Source organism: Homo sapiens, chromosome 2 (assembly GCF_000001405.40).
Source record: "Homo sapiens chromosome 2, GRCh38.p14 Primary Assembly".
Taxonomy (NCBI): domain Eukaryota; kingdom Metazoa; phylum Chordata; class Mammalia; order Primates; family Hominidae; genus Homo; species Homo sapiens.
In genome coordinates, this window is record NC_000002.12 from 202968121 (window position 1) to 202983339 (window position 15219).

The window sequence follows — 15219 nt, forward strand, 5'->3', positions numbered from 1 at the left end:
TGGCCGAGCATGGTGGCTAACGCCTGTAATCCCAGCACTTTGGGAGGCCGAGGTGGGCGGATTACAAGGTCAGGAGTTCAAGACAAGCCTGGCCAACTGGTGAAACCCCATCTCTACTAAAAATACAAAAAATTAGCCAGCCGTGGTGGCGGGCCCCTGTAATCCCAGCTACTCGGGAGGCTGAGGCAGGAGAATCGCTTGAATCCAGGAAACGGAGGTTGCAGTGAGCCGAGACTGCGCCACTGCACTCCAGCCTGGGCAACAGAGCAAGACTCTGTCTCAAAAAAATAAAATAAAATAAATACCTTAGCATTCTCAAGAAGTTTTTAAAGCCCATTTACAAGGCTTTTCATATTTAATCCTGCAATATTAACTTTAGGTAATATTTAAACCTGACTGTGAAACAAACTTTCAGTTGCTTTTTTTTTTCCATTTAGCCTTGACTTGAAACTTATCAACTGCTTCTTAAATATAAGCATTATAAAAACTTTAGGTATAACTTGGGAGAAAACCTCTACATGTGAAGAAATAATTTTATTTTCCATCATTCTACAAGTACTTTTTGACTGTCTACTCTGTGCCCAGAAACTACATTGGGTGCCATAGGAAGGAGGGAAACCAAAAGAGGAATAAAATTTTACTTAATCCCAGGGAACGGATCAGGAAACAAAAACTAGTAGACAACATGATAGTATAGAATATAGTGTGAAATATATGATTTAACTACCTATTTAGGTATTTAAAGAAGGAATATATCCATACAAATTCATGGCAGGAAAGAAAGTACAATTTAAACTGGATGTTGAAGTTTAAATTGAATTTGGGTGGGTAGAGAGTTAGAGGGATGATATTGTAGGTTAGGAGAACCATATAAATAAAGCTATAGAGGCCAGGTGTGGTGGCTCACGCCTATAATCCCAGAACTTTGGGAGGCTGTGGTGGGCGGATCACTTGAGGTGAGGAGTTTGAGACCAGCCTGACCAACATGGTGAAACCCCGTCTCTACTAAAAATACAAAAAAAATTAGCCAGGCATAGTGACACATGCCTGTAATCCCAGCTACTGGGGGAGGCTGAGGCAGGAGAATCACCTGTGACATTGAATTATCAAGTGGATTTAAGTAATGAAAGATTGGAGGCACAGGCCTGGAAGGAGGCTATTAAAGTAATCCAGGGCCAGGCATGGCAGCTCATGCCTGTAATCCCAGCACTTCAGGAGGCCGAGGTGGGTGGATCACCTGAGGTTGGGAGTTCCAGATCAGCCTGACCAACATGGAAAAACCCTGTCTCTACTAAAAATACAAAATTAGCCGGGAGTGGTGGCACATGCCTGTAATCCCAGCTACTTGAGAGGCTGAGGCAGGAGAATCACTGGAATCTGGGAGGTGGAGGTTGTGGTGAGCTGAGATCATGCCATTGCACTCCAGCCTGGGCAACAAGAGCAAAACTCCATCTCAAAAAATAAATAAATAAATAAATAAATAAATAAATAAATAAATAAGTAATCCAGGCATGAGGTGATTATGCCTTCCAGGAGAATGAAGAGAAGGCAAATCTACGGGAAAAAAATAGTAAAATCTGTAAGTACTTAGATATTTTTAAATAATGTTTACTTTTAATTTGCTAAGTATTAATACAACTGAGAATATGGCATATATTTTACATAAGCCTCTGAATACTTTACAGATAAATTGAATTTTCTCTAAGCTTAAATGCTTAAAGTAGACTTCTGGTTGATAAGATAGATTATCTTGAGATTATAATATAATGAAACAAATTCTTCTTTATCTTGTATAAAGGATTTACATTAAAAAGGTACAGAAGTTTCCTGAATATAGAGTTCCTACAGACCCCAAAATTGACAAGAAAATTATCAGAATGGAGCAGGAGAAAGCTTTTAACATGCTAAAGAAGAACTTGGTAGATGCTGGTGGTGTTCTTAGGTATGACATTTTTATAGTTCTTTTATTTTACAAATTAATTAGCTCAATTTGCAAGAATTATTTTGTAAGGGAAATTATAGTTTTCCAACTATTTCATTAAGTAACGGTTTTATAAGGTAGAGATATCAATAGTTCCCTAGGTATTAAATTGATTTGCCACTGTGTAAGCCATTGAGTTTCTTAGCCCCAAGTTGTAGATAATTCAGACCAAAGAATTATTCCATACTGTATAGCATATACTCTGTATACCATATACCATGTAAAAGCTTTTTCTCAAAATGACAAAGACATACTTAATACACTTTATTATATATTTAGTACTTTGTTTTAGCTACTTACTATGAGCAGAAACTTCAGCCGCCTGTCATTTTTTTAAAACTAATCTTTGATTACTTACGGCAGCCAGAAATGAATTCCAAGCCGTAAATAAAATTCCATTTCACACCTTTTATGCTTTAGGTTTTAAATGTGAAATATTAGCATTCTTTTTTACTTTCCTTTATGTGTCAGTCTGGGTGAATAATTTGTTATTGTATAATGGATTTAAGTGTATGGAATATCGTTTTCGTGTGATCTTTAAAAAAAACTTTTAGGTATGTGAAAAATAAATTGAGTCAACAATTAGATCCTTCAATGAAAGTCAAAAATATCACTAAAAAAATTAGATCCTGCAGTTTGAAGAGCATTGCATATAATTTTTAAGTAGGCATTGTCAGTTATTGTAATAATTTTATACAGAAATATCAATTAAAGCAGTATCCTACCAGATTAGTTCATTTTCCTACCGTCTACTTTTCTTTTTTTTTTTTTTTCATGGCTCTCCAAGAGATCTGCATTCACCTTTAGTTAATTCTCTTGCTCACTTGGCCAGCAGGAGCTGGGAGTGCTGTAGAGGCAGTATGTTGAGCTCCTGTGAGGAAAGAATCAACCATAAAGTTCAGTCTTGACAGGTTCTATCTTTGGTTGGAAGGATGGTAGGTGTAACAGAGAAGTGTAATTTGGGACGAATGTTTGATGAATGGGAAAATACACAGTTCAAAAGATGATGATTTACAATGTCTTCTCTTTATTTTGAGGTAAAATGTACTTAATATGAATTTTCTCATGAACCCAAAATAATACAATTAATATGAAATTTAAAATGCCATTTTCATATATACTTAAAATCCCTGTATCTCCCTCAACTGTAGGACCACAGTGAAAGTCTATAAATATTTACAAATATTTTAATTTAATTGGATATAAAGCAAATCTTAGAAGAGTTAAGAGATCATTTTAAATTTTATTTGATATGAAATAACCATATATAATTTTTTCTTAAAGGATTAATCCTTTCCTTTATGAGTATTAACCTAAGTAATTATGATTCCTACTTTGGTCTAATAATATTAAATAATTTTAATGTTTAAATTTTAGTAATTTTAAATATTTTCTCTTACCAGGTGGTATGTACAGTTACCTACACAGCAAGCTCATCAGTATCATGAATTAGAGACTCCCTGCCTCACTTTGTCACCTTCTCCTTTTCCTGTGTCTTCTCTTGAAGAAGAGGAAACTGCAGTTAGAGATGAGAATTGTGCATTACCCTCACGTTTACATCCTCAAGTAGCACATAAGATTCAAGAATTAGTATCACAGGGAATAGAACAAGTGTATGCAGTAAGGAAACAGCTAAGGTACAATAGAAGAGCATTGTTCTTTTACATTTTTCAGTTTTGTTTGTTGCTTTAAATAATACAGTGAACATTGGAGATATTTTCCAAAATATATGCTATCAGGGTAGATAAGGAATATAGTTTATTAATTTATTAAAATAATCTTATTTATAAACTGATCATTTTCTAACAAATGCTTGGCAAGCAATGGTGTAATATGGTTTATTATAATTCTGATTACTCACTTGAGACATTCTATATTTGGATTTGGCAAATTGGACTATGTCTAAATGATGTATAAAATTAAATAGTTAATAAATACTTTTAGAGAAGAAAACCTTTGTAGCACCAAAGATTTTAAAACCCAGGCCAAGATACTATTTGAAATGCAGTTAAATTTTATTACAACACAATAATTTGGATAGTTCTTTGTCTAATGAAATTTTATTTGTAGTACTCTGGTCTAAGTTTTTTGATCCTCAGGAAATAATAATAATTATATAAGTAATTATATAATTACTTATTTTGTGTGTGCCAGGTACTGTGCTAGGCTTTTTACATGTATGATCTCATTTAGTCTTACAATAGCACTATTAAGTTGGTATATTTATCCCAATTCTACACATGAGAAACTGGAGTCTCAGAGTGGTTAAATAATTGGCTTAAGAGGCAGTGGCAGAGTCAGGCGCAGTGGCTCACGCCTGTAATCCCAGCACTTTGGGAGTCCGAGGAGGGCAGATCATGAGGTCAGGAGATCGAGACCATCCTGGCCAACATGGTGAAACCCCGTCTCTACTAAAAATACAAAAACTAGCTGGGCATGGTGGCACGCACCTGTAGTCCCAGCTTCTCGGGAGGCTGAGGCAAGAGAATTGCTTGAACCCGAGAGGTGGAGGTTGCAGTGAGCCGAGATCGCGCCACTGCACTCTACCCTGGCTACAGAGCGAGACTCCGTCTAAAAAAAAAAAAAAAAAAAAAGGCAGTGGCAGAACTGAAATTTAGGCCTAACGCTATATAGCCTGTGCCTATTACCGTGATTTATGATACTTAGCCTTGCTCTTACTGATTATTGTGTAATCTGATCTGAATAACAAAATAAATATAGTAAGCCCCCTCTTAAAGGCATGAATAGGTTCTCGAAAACTGCTACTTTAACCAAAAGGAAATACAGCAGGTCCTTGAGTTATATCGTTCTGTTCAACGTCTTTTCTTTTGTTGTTTTTTTTAACTTTTTTTGTAAAAGAAGCAGGGGTCTTGCTATGTTGCCCAGGCTGGTCTTGAAGTCCTGGCCTCAAGTGATGCACCCAAGAAGATGGGATTGCAGAAGCAAGCCACTGCACCTGATTCGGTGTTTTCTTATAGCATTGGAGAAAATAATTTGGTTTTGTTGTATGTCCTTTCACTTAAGGTCTCAGTTTCCAGGAGCCTAACAATGATGTTAACTGAGAGCTTACTGTAATTCCTAGAATTATTTCCTAATTAATACATGACTTTTCTATTTAGCAGTTTTCTTAGACATTTTATATTTATTTCCACTGGGGCATCATTAGCATAAGGCAAAAATTTGGTAAAGCCATTCACTATTTACTAAACCTGAATCTTAACAATGGAAGTATAATACAGTTCTGCGATTTGGTCCACCAAATGTAATAAGCATATATATGTTAAATTTTATCATTTCTTTTATATATTGATTTTTTATACAATTAAATAACAGTGCTGCCTTCTATTTCTATCTTCTTTTGTCTCCGTGTAAAATTCAAGCCCATCATATTTCATATAATATTAATTGATACTTTTGGAAGCAATGTAACATGATGTTTACGCACATAACCTGGGTATAGGCCCAAGCTCTCTTATTTACTAGGTAGGTGTATGATTTTGGGCAAATTATTTCACTTCTACAGTCCTTAGTTCTATCATCTGTAAAGTGGGAATGATAATTGTACGTATGTCGTTGATCATTAAGGGTTAAAGGAGATATTTGATGTGAAGTGTTCCATACAGTGCCTGACATAGCATTAAAAACATTATTATACTTAAACTGAAAATAATGATTTCTTTAAATTCATAAAAATATCAAAGCTCAGCTGGGCGTGGTGGCTCACGCCTGTAATCCCAGCACTTTAGGAGGCCGAGGCGGGCGGATCGCGAGGTTAGGAGATCGAGACCAGCCTAGTGAAACATAGTGAAACCCTGTCTCTACTAAAAATACAAAAAATTAGCCGGGCGTGGTGGCACACTCCTGTAGTCCCAGCTACTCGGGAGGCTGAGGCAGGAGAATCGCTTGAACCCGGGAGGCAGAGGTTGCAGTGAGCCGAGATCACACCACTGCACTCCAGCCTGGGCGACAGAGCGAGACTCCATCTCAAAAAATAATAACAAAACTCACTCTAATATATTTAGATGTTTTACCAATGAAAATATTACATTTCTATAGTCTGCAATAATTCTATGTTGTATGGAAAAAGTTTAAATAGGAAAATATAAATTACTTACAGAGCTATAAACCATACTTTATAGAAGTTTATACTGAAAGAGAACCTTTCTGTCTTTTGATCTAAAGGCATATTGCTAAATGGTTTATGTCTTTATTCCATTTTGTATTCTTTACAGAAAATTTGTGGAAAGGGAACTGTTCAAACCCGATGAGGTACCTGAAAGACATAATTTATCTTTTTTTCCAACTGTAAATGATATAAAAAATCACATCCATGAGGTACAGAAATCCTTGAGAAATGGAGATACGGTATATAACTCAGAGATTATTCCAGCAACGGTATGATTACAACCATAATTCCTTATTACAGAGTCTTTCTCAGCTTCTATTAATATTTAGTCTAATAAGAATGGCTAGTGTTAGGCCATCTGAATAACTGCAATATAAGCAAATACAATAGGCCGGGCGTGGTGGCTCATGCCTGTAATCCCAACACTTTGGGAGGCCGAGACGGGTGGATCACCTGCGGTCAGAAGTTTGAGATCAGCCTGGCCAACACGGTGAAACCCCATCTCTACTAAAAATACAAAGATTGGGTGGGCGTGATGGTGGGTGCCTGTAATCCCAGCTACTTGGGAGGCTGAGGCAGGAGAATCACTTGAACTCAGGAGGCGGAGTTTGCAGTGAGCTGAGACTGCACCACTGTACTCCAGCCTGGGAGACTCAGCGAGACTCCATCTCAAAAAATATATATATATAGCATCTTTTTCTTAAAATGTAAATACTCAATGTTTAGAAAATGACTAAAAGTTTTTTATTACTTTCACAAGAAGAAAAATCAGTGAATTCCCAACTCCATAATAAAAACACTGGCCAGGCACAGTGGCTTGTGCCTGTAATCCCAGCACTGTGGGAGGCCGAGGCGGGCAGATCACCTGAGGTCAGGAGTTCGAGACCAGCCTAACCAACATGGCAAAACCCCATCTCTACTAAAAATACAAAAAATAGCTGGGTGTGGCCGGGCTCAGTGGCTCACGCCTGTAATCCCAGCACTTTGGGAGGCTGAGATGGGCAGATCACAAGGTCAGAAGATAAAGACCATCCTGGCTAACACATCTCTACTAAGAATACGAAAAATTAGCCGGGCATGGTGGCAGGTGCCTGTAGTCCCAGCTACTCTGGAGGCTGAGGCAGGAGAATGGTGTGAACCCGGGAGGCGGAGCTTGCGGTGAGCCAAGATCGTGCCACTGCACTCCAGCCTGGGCAACAGAGCGAGACTCCGTCTAAAAAAAGAAAAAAAAATTAGCTGGGTGTGGTGGCGTGCGCCTGTAATCCCAGCTACTCGGGAGGGTGAGGTAGGAATCGCTTGAACCTGGGAGGCGGAGGTTGCAGTGAGCTGAGATAGCGCCACTGCACTCCAGCCTGGGAGACTGAGACTTCATCTGAAAAACAACAACAAAAAACCACTAATCTTTATTTTTAAATCAACATGTATTTTCTCTGTAAAAATTATTCTTACTCATTTAACAGACATTTATTGAGTACTATTGTATATATTTCCCCTCCCTTTTTTAATAAATGGGCAAATTTAAATACAGTTGTTTGGGCTGGGCGCGTTGGCTCATGCCTATAATCCTAGCACTTTAGGAGGCTGAGGCAAGTGGATCACCTGAGATCAGGAGTTCGAGACCAGCCTGGCCAACACAGTGAAACCCCATTTCTACCAAAAATACAAAAATTAGCCGGGCGCGGTGGCAGGTGCCTATAGTCCCAGCTACTTGGCAGGCTGAGGCAGGAGAATCACTTGAATCCGGGAGGCGGAGGTTGCAGTGAGCCATGATCATGCCGTTGCACTCCAGCCTGGGTGACAGCAGCAAAACTCCATCTCAATAAATAAATATATATCCATCTATCCATCCATCCATCCATACATACATACATACATACAGTTCTTCATACTTGATTGCCCAAAGTGATAATGTTGGTTCCATATGCCATCTGTGGATATCAGTTTAACTCATACTTTTTTTTTTTTGAGACAGTCTCTCTCTCTCTTGCTCAGGCTGGATTGCCGTGGCATGATCCTGGCTCAGTGCAACCTCCATCTCCCAGGTTCAAGCTATTCTCCTGCCTCAGCCTCCCAAGTAGCTGGGATTACAGGTTTCAGCCACCATGCCCGGCTAATTTTTTTGTTTTTATTAGAGACGGGTTTCACCATGTTGGCCAGGCTGGTCTCAAACTCCTGACCTCACGTGATCTGCCCTCCTTGGCCTCCCAGAGTGTTGGGATTACAGGCGTGAGCCACCACACCCGACCTTAACTCATAGTTTGATATGGTAGTTTCTCCCTGAATATTAGTCATCTCTGTGAAAATTTTGCCTACTCTGAAGAGATTAATTACCCAGAAACAACTAATTACAATACAGCCAGTGATTATGCCATTAAAATCTGAGATGTAGTATATTTTGCTTTCCTAACTTGTTATCCAAATGCAGTATCTGAAAAAATATGGATATTTTAAAAGCCAAAACTATTTCTTACAATCCATAACTCTTTGTCTTTTTTTTTTTTTTTGAGATAGAGTTTCACTGTCACCCAGCCAGAGTGCATTCACACAATCACGGCTCACTGCAGCCACGACCTCCAAGACTCAAGCAGTCCTCCCACCTTAGCCTCCTGGCAGCTGGGACTACAGGCACCAGCCATTACACCCAGCTAATTTTTTAAGTTTTTGTAGAGACTGAGTCTCACTTTGTTGCCCAGGCTGGTCTCAAACTCCTGGCCTCAAGCACCTCTCCAGCCTTGGCTTCCCAAGCCTTACGGGCATGACCCACTGTACCCAGCCCAATAACTCTTAATTATTCACTATCTAAATGTTAGAAGTAGTCCTTGTCATCTACACTGTTGTCTAAATCCTTGCTATCTGAACTCAGGAATTTAATGTATTTGTATAGTAAAGTATACTTGTGCTTGAAGAATATGAACAAGTGAAGAGAGTAGTTGCAGAATAAATCACATACTGTGAATAAAATATGACAGTCGTAATGACGTCTTAAGATATTTTTCAATATAAGAGCTTTATTTTTACTGAAATAAATGTTCCCATTTCAGCTTCAATGGACTACAGACAGTGGGAATATTCTCAAAGAGACCATGACAGTTACATTTGCAGAAGGTAGGTTTTCTTGAATACCTTTAAAATATAAATTCAAATGGTGTTTAACTGGAAGGAACTTAAGATATTATCTCATCTAATCAAATTTTATAGATAAGGAAACCAGGATCCAAAGACGTAGGAGCAGCTATGTTATGGTTTATCAACATACTTCCTACTATTTTAATTTCCTCTTATACTTTGTTTTTAATGCTTTTTTATGACTGACATTTTGAAGCTGATAACTAGCACAGTTAACTGTAGCTAATTCACTAAGTCTGGCTAATTCCAGTAGTAATAACCCTAAGATGCCCTGATCTGGGAACTATGGTCCATTTTTTACGGTTGCTTTTTCTCATGTGTTCTTACTGCTGGGCCCTTTCAATATTCCAAACTTATTTCCACCCTTTTGCATTTCTTCTCTGTTCTGGAAATGTCTTTTTTCTTATGCATGGCAAACTCCTCTTAGTACTCAAATTGTAATCTCTTTTAAGTACATTCATAACTTCACCCCCTATATAAAGTTAAACCTCTGAATTTCTTTTTTTGTTTTTGAGACGGTCTCACTCTGTCACCCAGACTGGAGTGCAGTGGTGCGTTCTCGGCTCACTGAAACCTCAGCCTCCCGGGTTCAAGTGGTTCTTCAGCCTCAGCCTCCCGAGTAGCTGGGATCACAGGCGCACGCCACCATACCTGGCTAATTTTTGTATTTTTAGTAGAGACAGGGTTTTGGCATGCTGGCCAATCTGATCTCAAACTCCTGACCTCAGGTGATCCACCCACCTTGGCCTCCCAAAGTGGTGGGATTACAGGCGTGAGCCACTGCACCCGGCCAAACCTCTGAATTTCTATAATGAGCATCTGACTGATAGCATTTACTGAGCTCAGCAACACTGGCAAAAGAATAGAGCATTGGTAGGACAGGAGAGAGAATAAAGGACTTACTAGATTTGTAAAGTTGAGTATCTGAGCCATTTCAGTGGCGTGGATTGGGAGGAAGCCATATTGGGGTGATTGAAGTGTGAATGGGAGATGAGGAAGGAGTAGGGACTCCTTAAAAAGTGTACCACTTTTTCAGGAATTTTGCAATGGCAAATGGGGTTGAGGGAACGTATTTTAAGAGTAGAGAACTGAAAAGATAGATGAAGATGGTGATGGGAAGTTGAAGAAACTTCTGTTGGCTTTCCTTTTCTCTGTAAGAGTGCTAAGGATAAGGAAAGGTTTCAAGAAGGGTGGCATGGATTTGAGGGAAATGCAAATTAGAAATTATCCTGGATAGAGAGTGAAACATTGCCAGATACAGGTGAAGGTCCAATCAAAGTTAATAGTGAATTGGTATTAGTAGAATTAGTGAGTTTCTTTTTCAGTGGCACTCAGCTTCCCATGTATTGGTGCAGGAAAGCCATTTTTATGCAGAGTTAGGGTTTTACTGGAGGGATATGACCAAAGGACAGAGAGGCAAGAGAGTTTAGGTACTTGTAAAAGAGTGACTGAAATTTTATAGACCTAGGACTGTAAGCTGGATGGGGGAAGAATTTTATTAAGAAAGAGGTTGATGGATCTGAAGAAAACTGAGGGATTAATTGACTGGAGGTTCACATGAGGTTGAAGAACAATTGTAGTGAAATACATGAGCAAAATCTCTGGAAGAATAAGAGGTTGTAGCTGGGCACGGTGGCTCACACCTGTAATCCCAGCACTTTGGGAGGCCAAGGTAGGTGGATCATTTGAGGTCAGGAGTTTGAGACCAGCCTGGCCAACATGGTGAAACCTGGTCTCTGCTAAAAATACAAAAACTAGCTGGGCATGGTGGCACATGCCTGTAATCCCAGCTACTCAGGAGGCTGAGGCAGGAGAATCGCTTGAACCTGGGAGGCAGAGGTTGCAGTGAGCTGAGATCATGCCACTGCACTCTAGCCTGGATGACAGAGCAAGACTCCATCTCAAAAAAAGAATAAAAATCTAAAAATAAGAATAAGAGGTTGTGATCAGAGAATGAGATGTTTGAACTTGAGATTTTAGAGGTAGGATCATCCAGAGTATGATGATAGTGGTGGGTGACTACAGCAGTGAAGTAAAAGGACATTAATAACGAAGAAACCAAGAAATGCATGATTGCTGTTTAGTCCTCTCAGTGGTCCATTGAGAAAGGACTCTTAAGCTGATTTTACAGATGAGGAAGCTGAAGTTTAGAAACTAAGTTATAGGATGGGTGCAGTGACTCAACGCCTGTAATCCCAGCACTTTGGGAGGCCAAGGCAGGTGGATCACCTGAGGTCAGAAGTTCGAGACTGGCCTGGACAACATGGTGAAACCCTGTCTCTACTAAAAATACAAAAATTAGCTGGGCATGGTGTCACACACCTGTAGTCCCAGCTACTCAGGAGGCTGAGGCAGGAGAATCACTTGAACCTGGGAGGCAGAGGTTGCAATGAGCCGAGATTGCGTCACTGCACTCCAGCCTGGGCAACAGAGCAAGACTGTCTCAAAAAAAAAAAAAGAAAGAAAAGAAAAGAAACTGAGTTATATAGCGTATTGAAGGTGACACAGAAAGCCAGTGCTTAAATCCATTCTTCTCTGATACTCTGGCCATTTTAAAATCAGTCAGTTGTATTATGGAAGCAATAAATGTTCATTGATAATTAGGTTTTCTCTTTCTGTTTTGAGACAGGGTTTCACTCTGTCACCCATGGTTGAGTACAGTGGGACGATCTTGGCTCATTGTATCCTCTGCCTCCTGGGCTCCAGTGATCCTCCCACCTTAGCCCCCCAAGTAGCTGGGACTACAGGCACATGCCACCACGCCTGGCTAATTTGTGTATTTTTACTAGAGGCAAGGTTTCACCGTGTTGCCCAGGCTGGTCTCAAACTCCTGGTCTCAAGTTATCCATCTGCTCTGGCCTCCTAAAGTGCTGAGATTACAAGCGTGAGCCACTTCGCCTGGCCGATAATTAGTTCTTCACTGACTTAAAGAGATGAATATATTTGGGTTAACGTATAAGAATTACATGAGAATGATTCAAATTCCCTACAATTAGTTTAAATTTGAGATACTAAGAAAATAGAGTTTTTATTTTTATTCATTTATACCAAAATGAGTTATTGAAATAAATTTAATGCTGTTATCATTAAAGACCAATTTTTCCAGGTATTGTCCTAGTTACTAGGGCTACAAAAGGTGAATTAAGTTTGGTGTTAATTGAGAAGCTCCTTAGATTTCACACTTCTAGAGAAGTTTAGTATAGTCCAGCATTATAGTACGGAGAACACACTAGATTCGAGTTACAGATATAGCGTCTTTCAAGTATATATATATATATATATATATATATATATATATATATATATATAGTTGTGCCTCTGTATCTATGGGTTCTGTATCCATGGCTTCAACAAACTGCTGACCAAAAATATATTTTTAATTGGATGTATACCAAACATGTACATATTTTTTCCCTATTATAATCTAGAGATGATTTAAAGTATATTGGAAGACTTCTACATTGTATTGTGTATTATAGGTAATCCAGAGAGGATTTAAAGTTTGTGGGAGGATATGCTTAGATTTTATGCAAATACGATGCCATTTTATATCAGGAACTGAGCATCTGTAGATTTTTATTTCTGATGGAGGTCCTGGAACCAGTCTTCCATGGATATGGAGGGACAATCCCATTCTAGATCTACCGAATTAAAATTAATGGAGGTTAAACCTAGGAATCTATGTTTTCTTAAACATCCCTTAGAGATTCTTATTATCTGCCAGGTTCTGCAAATAGTGGGCTACATCAGCAGTCCCCAGCCTTTTTGGCATCAAGGACCGGTTTTGTGGAACACAATTTTTCCACAGACCCAGGGTGGAGAGTTGGGGGGATGGTTTTGGGATTAAACTGTTCCACCTCAGATCATCAGGCATTAGATTCTCATAAGGAGTGTGCAACTTAGATCCAAGAATCTAATGTTTCTGCTGATCTAACACGAGGTAGAGCTCACGCGGTAAGGCTTCCTCATGCAGTAAGGCTTGCTTGCCCCATGCTCACCTCCTGCTGTGCAGCCCAGTTCCTAACAAGGCACAGACTGGTAGGGTCAGGGACCCTTGGGCTAGATGACTTATTGAAGTCCTTTGCAAAACTTTGAAAGTATTTCCTATTTTAGTTCTGACAGAAAGGGTTGTAATAAAGTATTTTTATGACTTCATAGAAGCCATAAAAATTATTTTAATAGTTTCTTTAATATAATTTAGGAAATTCACCAGGAGAATCAATTACCACCAAAGTGGAAACAAATCAGACCAGGGGTTCTTTGTCTCCTGAGCCAACCCACTTGCTCTCCTCACTCTCCTCATTTCAGCCCAAAATATTTACACAACTACAGGTAGGTATCCAGTAAAATATCCAAATTTGAGGTCCTTCTCTTTATTCCTCCATTTACCTCTTCTTCTCCTAGGGATTTTAGAGAATTGTTACAGAATTATAATAATGATGAAATATGTTTTCATTGTTAATTTCCTGATCTTTTTGTTTCTTGATTTAAGATAATTCAAACAGTATGTTTTTTAAAAGTTTAAAGTTGACTATGAATGCAGTAAATTTAGTTGTACTACTTTTCCCTTGATTCTTGTTTCTTTCTTCATTTAATAATTATTTTTAACCATACTCTTTTTATTTGTTCGGATTTTTTGTCAAAAGAATTGTATATCCTATGAGAATATCATACATAGGAAATTCAAACATTTTGATGTACTCTTTTTGGTTTAAAAGGGTTTGCAGTTACAACCAAGGTACACCTCTCCTGATGAATCACCAGCTGTGGTATCAGTAAATAACCAGCCGTCCTCTAGTCCTTCAGGACTTCTGGATACAATAGGAAGTGCTGTAATGAATAATAATTCTCTACTGCTTGGTCAAAGTCATAGCCTTCAAAGAGATACATGCTTAACCCAAAACAATAGTACTGCCTCCACCATGGGTAACCTTCCAGAACCAGATCAAAATCTAGTTGCAATGGACGAGCTGGTAGAAGTTGGAGATGTTGAGGATACAGGGAATCTGGAAGGAACTGTTCATCGGATTCTGTTGGGAGATGTGCAGACTATTCCAATACAGATTATAGACAACCACTCAGCTCTTAGTAAGTTGAAATCAATTTATGATGTTATTGTTGTAACCTTTGTGGATTATCATCACTATATTATACTATAGATAAAACTATTATTTCTACCCAGTGGGTCTATGATATTATGTAAATGAAGCAAAATTATGAGAGAGAAGGAGGAGATTTCATTACCCTGCGTTTCAGAACTTTTAACCTTAAATTTTCTTCTTCTTATTTCTAATTATTTAGTACCGTAGAAATTACTTATTCCCTAATTACCTGTTTTCCATGGAAAATCTGTGGTAATGTGAAACCAGGAAGGTCATTTTAGAGTACATGAAAAAATTAATAGGAAAAAATTAAACAAGGAAAAATATTTTCATGCAAAGGTTATTATGGAAGAATTGATGTATGCACACATACACAAAGAAAAATGAAAGAAGTAGGCATATATGAAGGTTAAAAGGAAGATTTTCATTTTTGGTTTTTTGTTGTTTTGAGACAGAGTCTCATTCTGTCACCCAGGCTGGAGTACAATGATGCAATCACAGGTCACTGCAGCCTTGACCTCCTTGGTTCAAGCGATCTTCCCACCTCAGCTTCCCAAGTAGCTGGGACCACAGGCACATGCCACCATACTGGGCAAATTCTTTAATTTTTTTTTTTTAAACCAGCCTGTTGCGCAGGCTGGTCTTGAACTCCTGGGCTCAAGCAATCCTCCCACCTCAGCCTCCCACTCCTCACGCAGTGAGCCACTGCACCTGGCCAAAAGGAAGATTTGGAATTACAAAATAAATGTTGAGTTGAAAGGGAACTAGTAAGACTTGGGCATTTAGGTTTAGCCCAAGACCTTCTTACCTTCACTTTATTACTAATCTCTGTCAACATAGAAGTAAACTCTGTTAACTCCTACTTTATCTGTTACTTCTTTGCA

At 38.7% G+C, this 15219-nt stretch overlaps 1 protein-coding gene across 20 annotated transcripts in view; it reads left to right on the forward strand.

Moving 5' to 3' along the window:
- Positions 1–15219, forward strand: part of CARF (calcium responsive transcription factor) — a 75989-nt gene that overhangs the window by 55846 nt on the left and 4924 nt on the right. For 13 of the 20 annotated variants that reach the window (XR_007081622.1, NR_136330.3, NM_001322428.3 and 10 more), the window contains 6 exons: positions 1799–1942; positions 3385–3618; positions 6214–6376; positions 9149–9212; positions 13435–13565; positions 13952–14321. Coding sequence is in view for 14 of the 20 variants with exons in the window: in NM_001322428.3 (NP_001309357.1) it covers positions 1799–1942; positions 3385–3618; positions 6214–6376; positions 9149–9212; positions 13435–13565; positions 13952–14321 (1106 nt within the window). In the remaining 6 variants the exon portion in view is untranslated. Of the gene's footprint in view, positions 1–1798; positions 1943–2768; positions 2917–3384; positions 3619–5361; positions 5465–6213; positions 6377–9148; positions 9213–13434; positions 13566–13951; positions 14322–15219 lie in introns of those variants that run through there. The other 7 variants (NR_148033.2, NR_148034.2, NR_136331.3 and 4 more) reach the window with 5 other exon arrangements.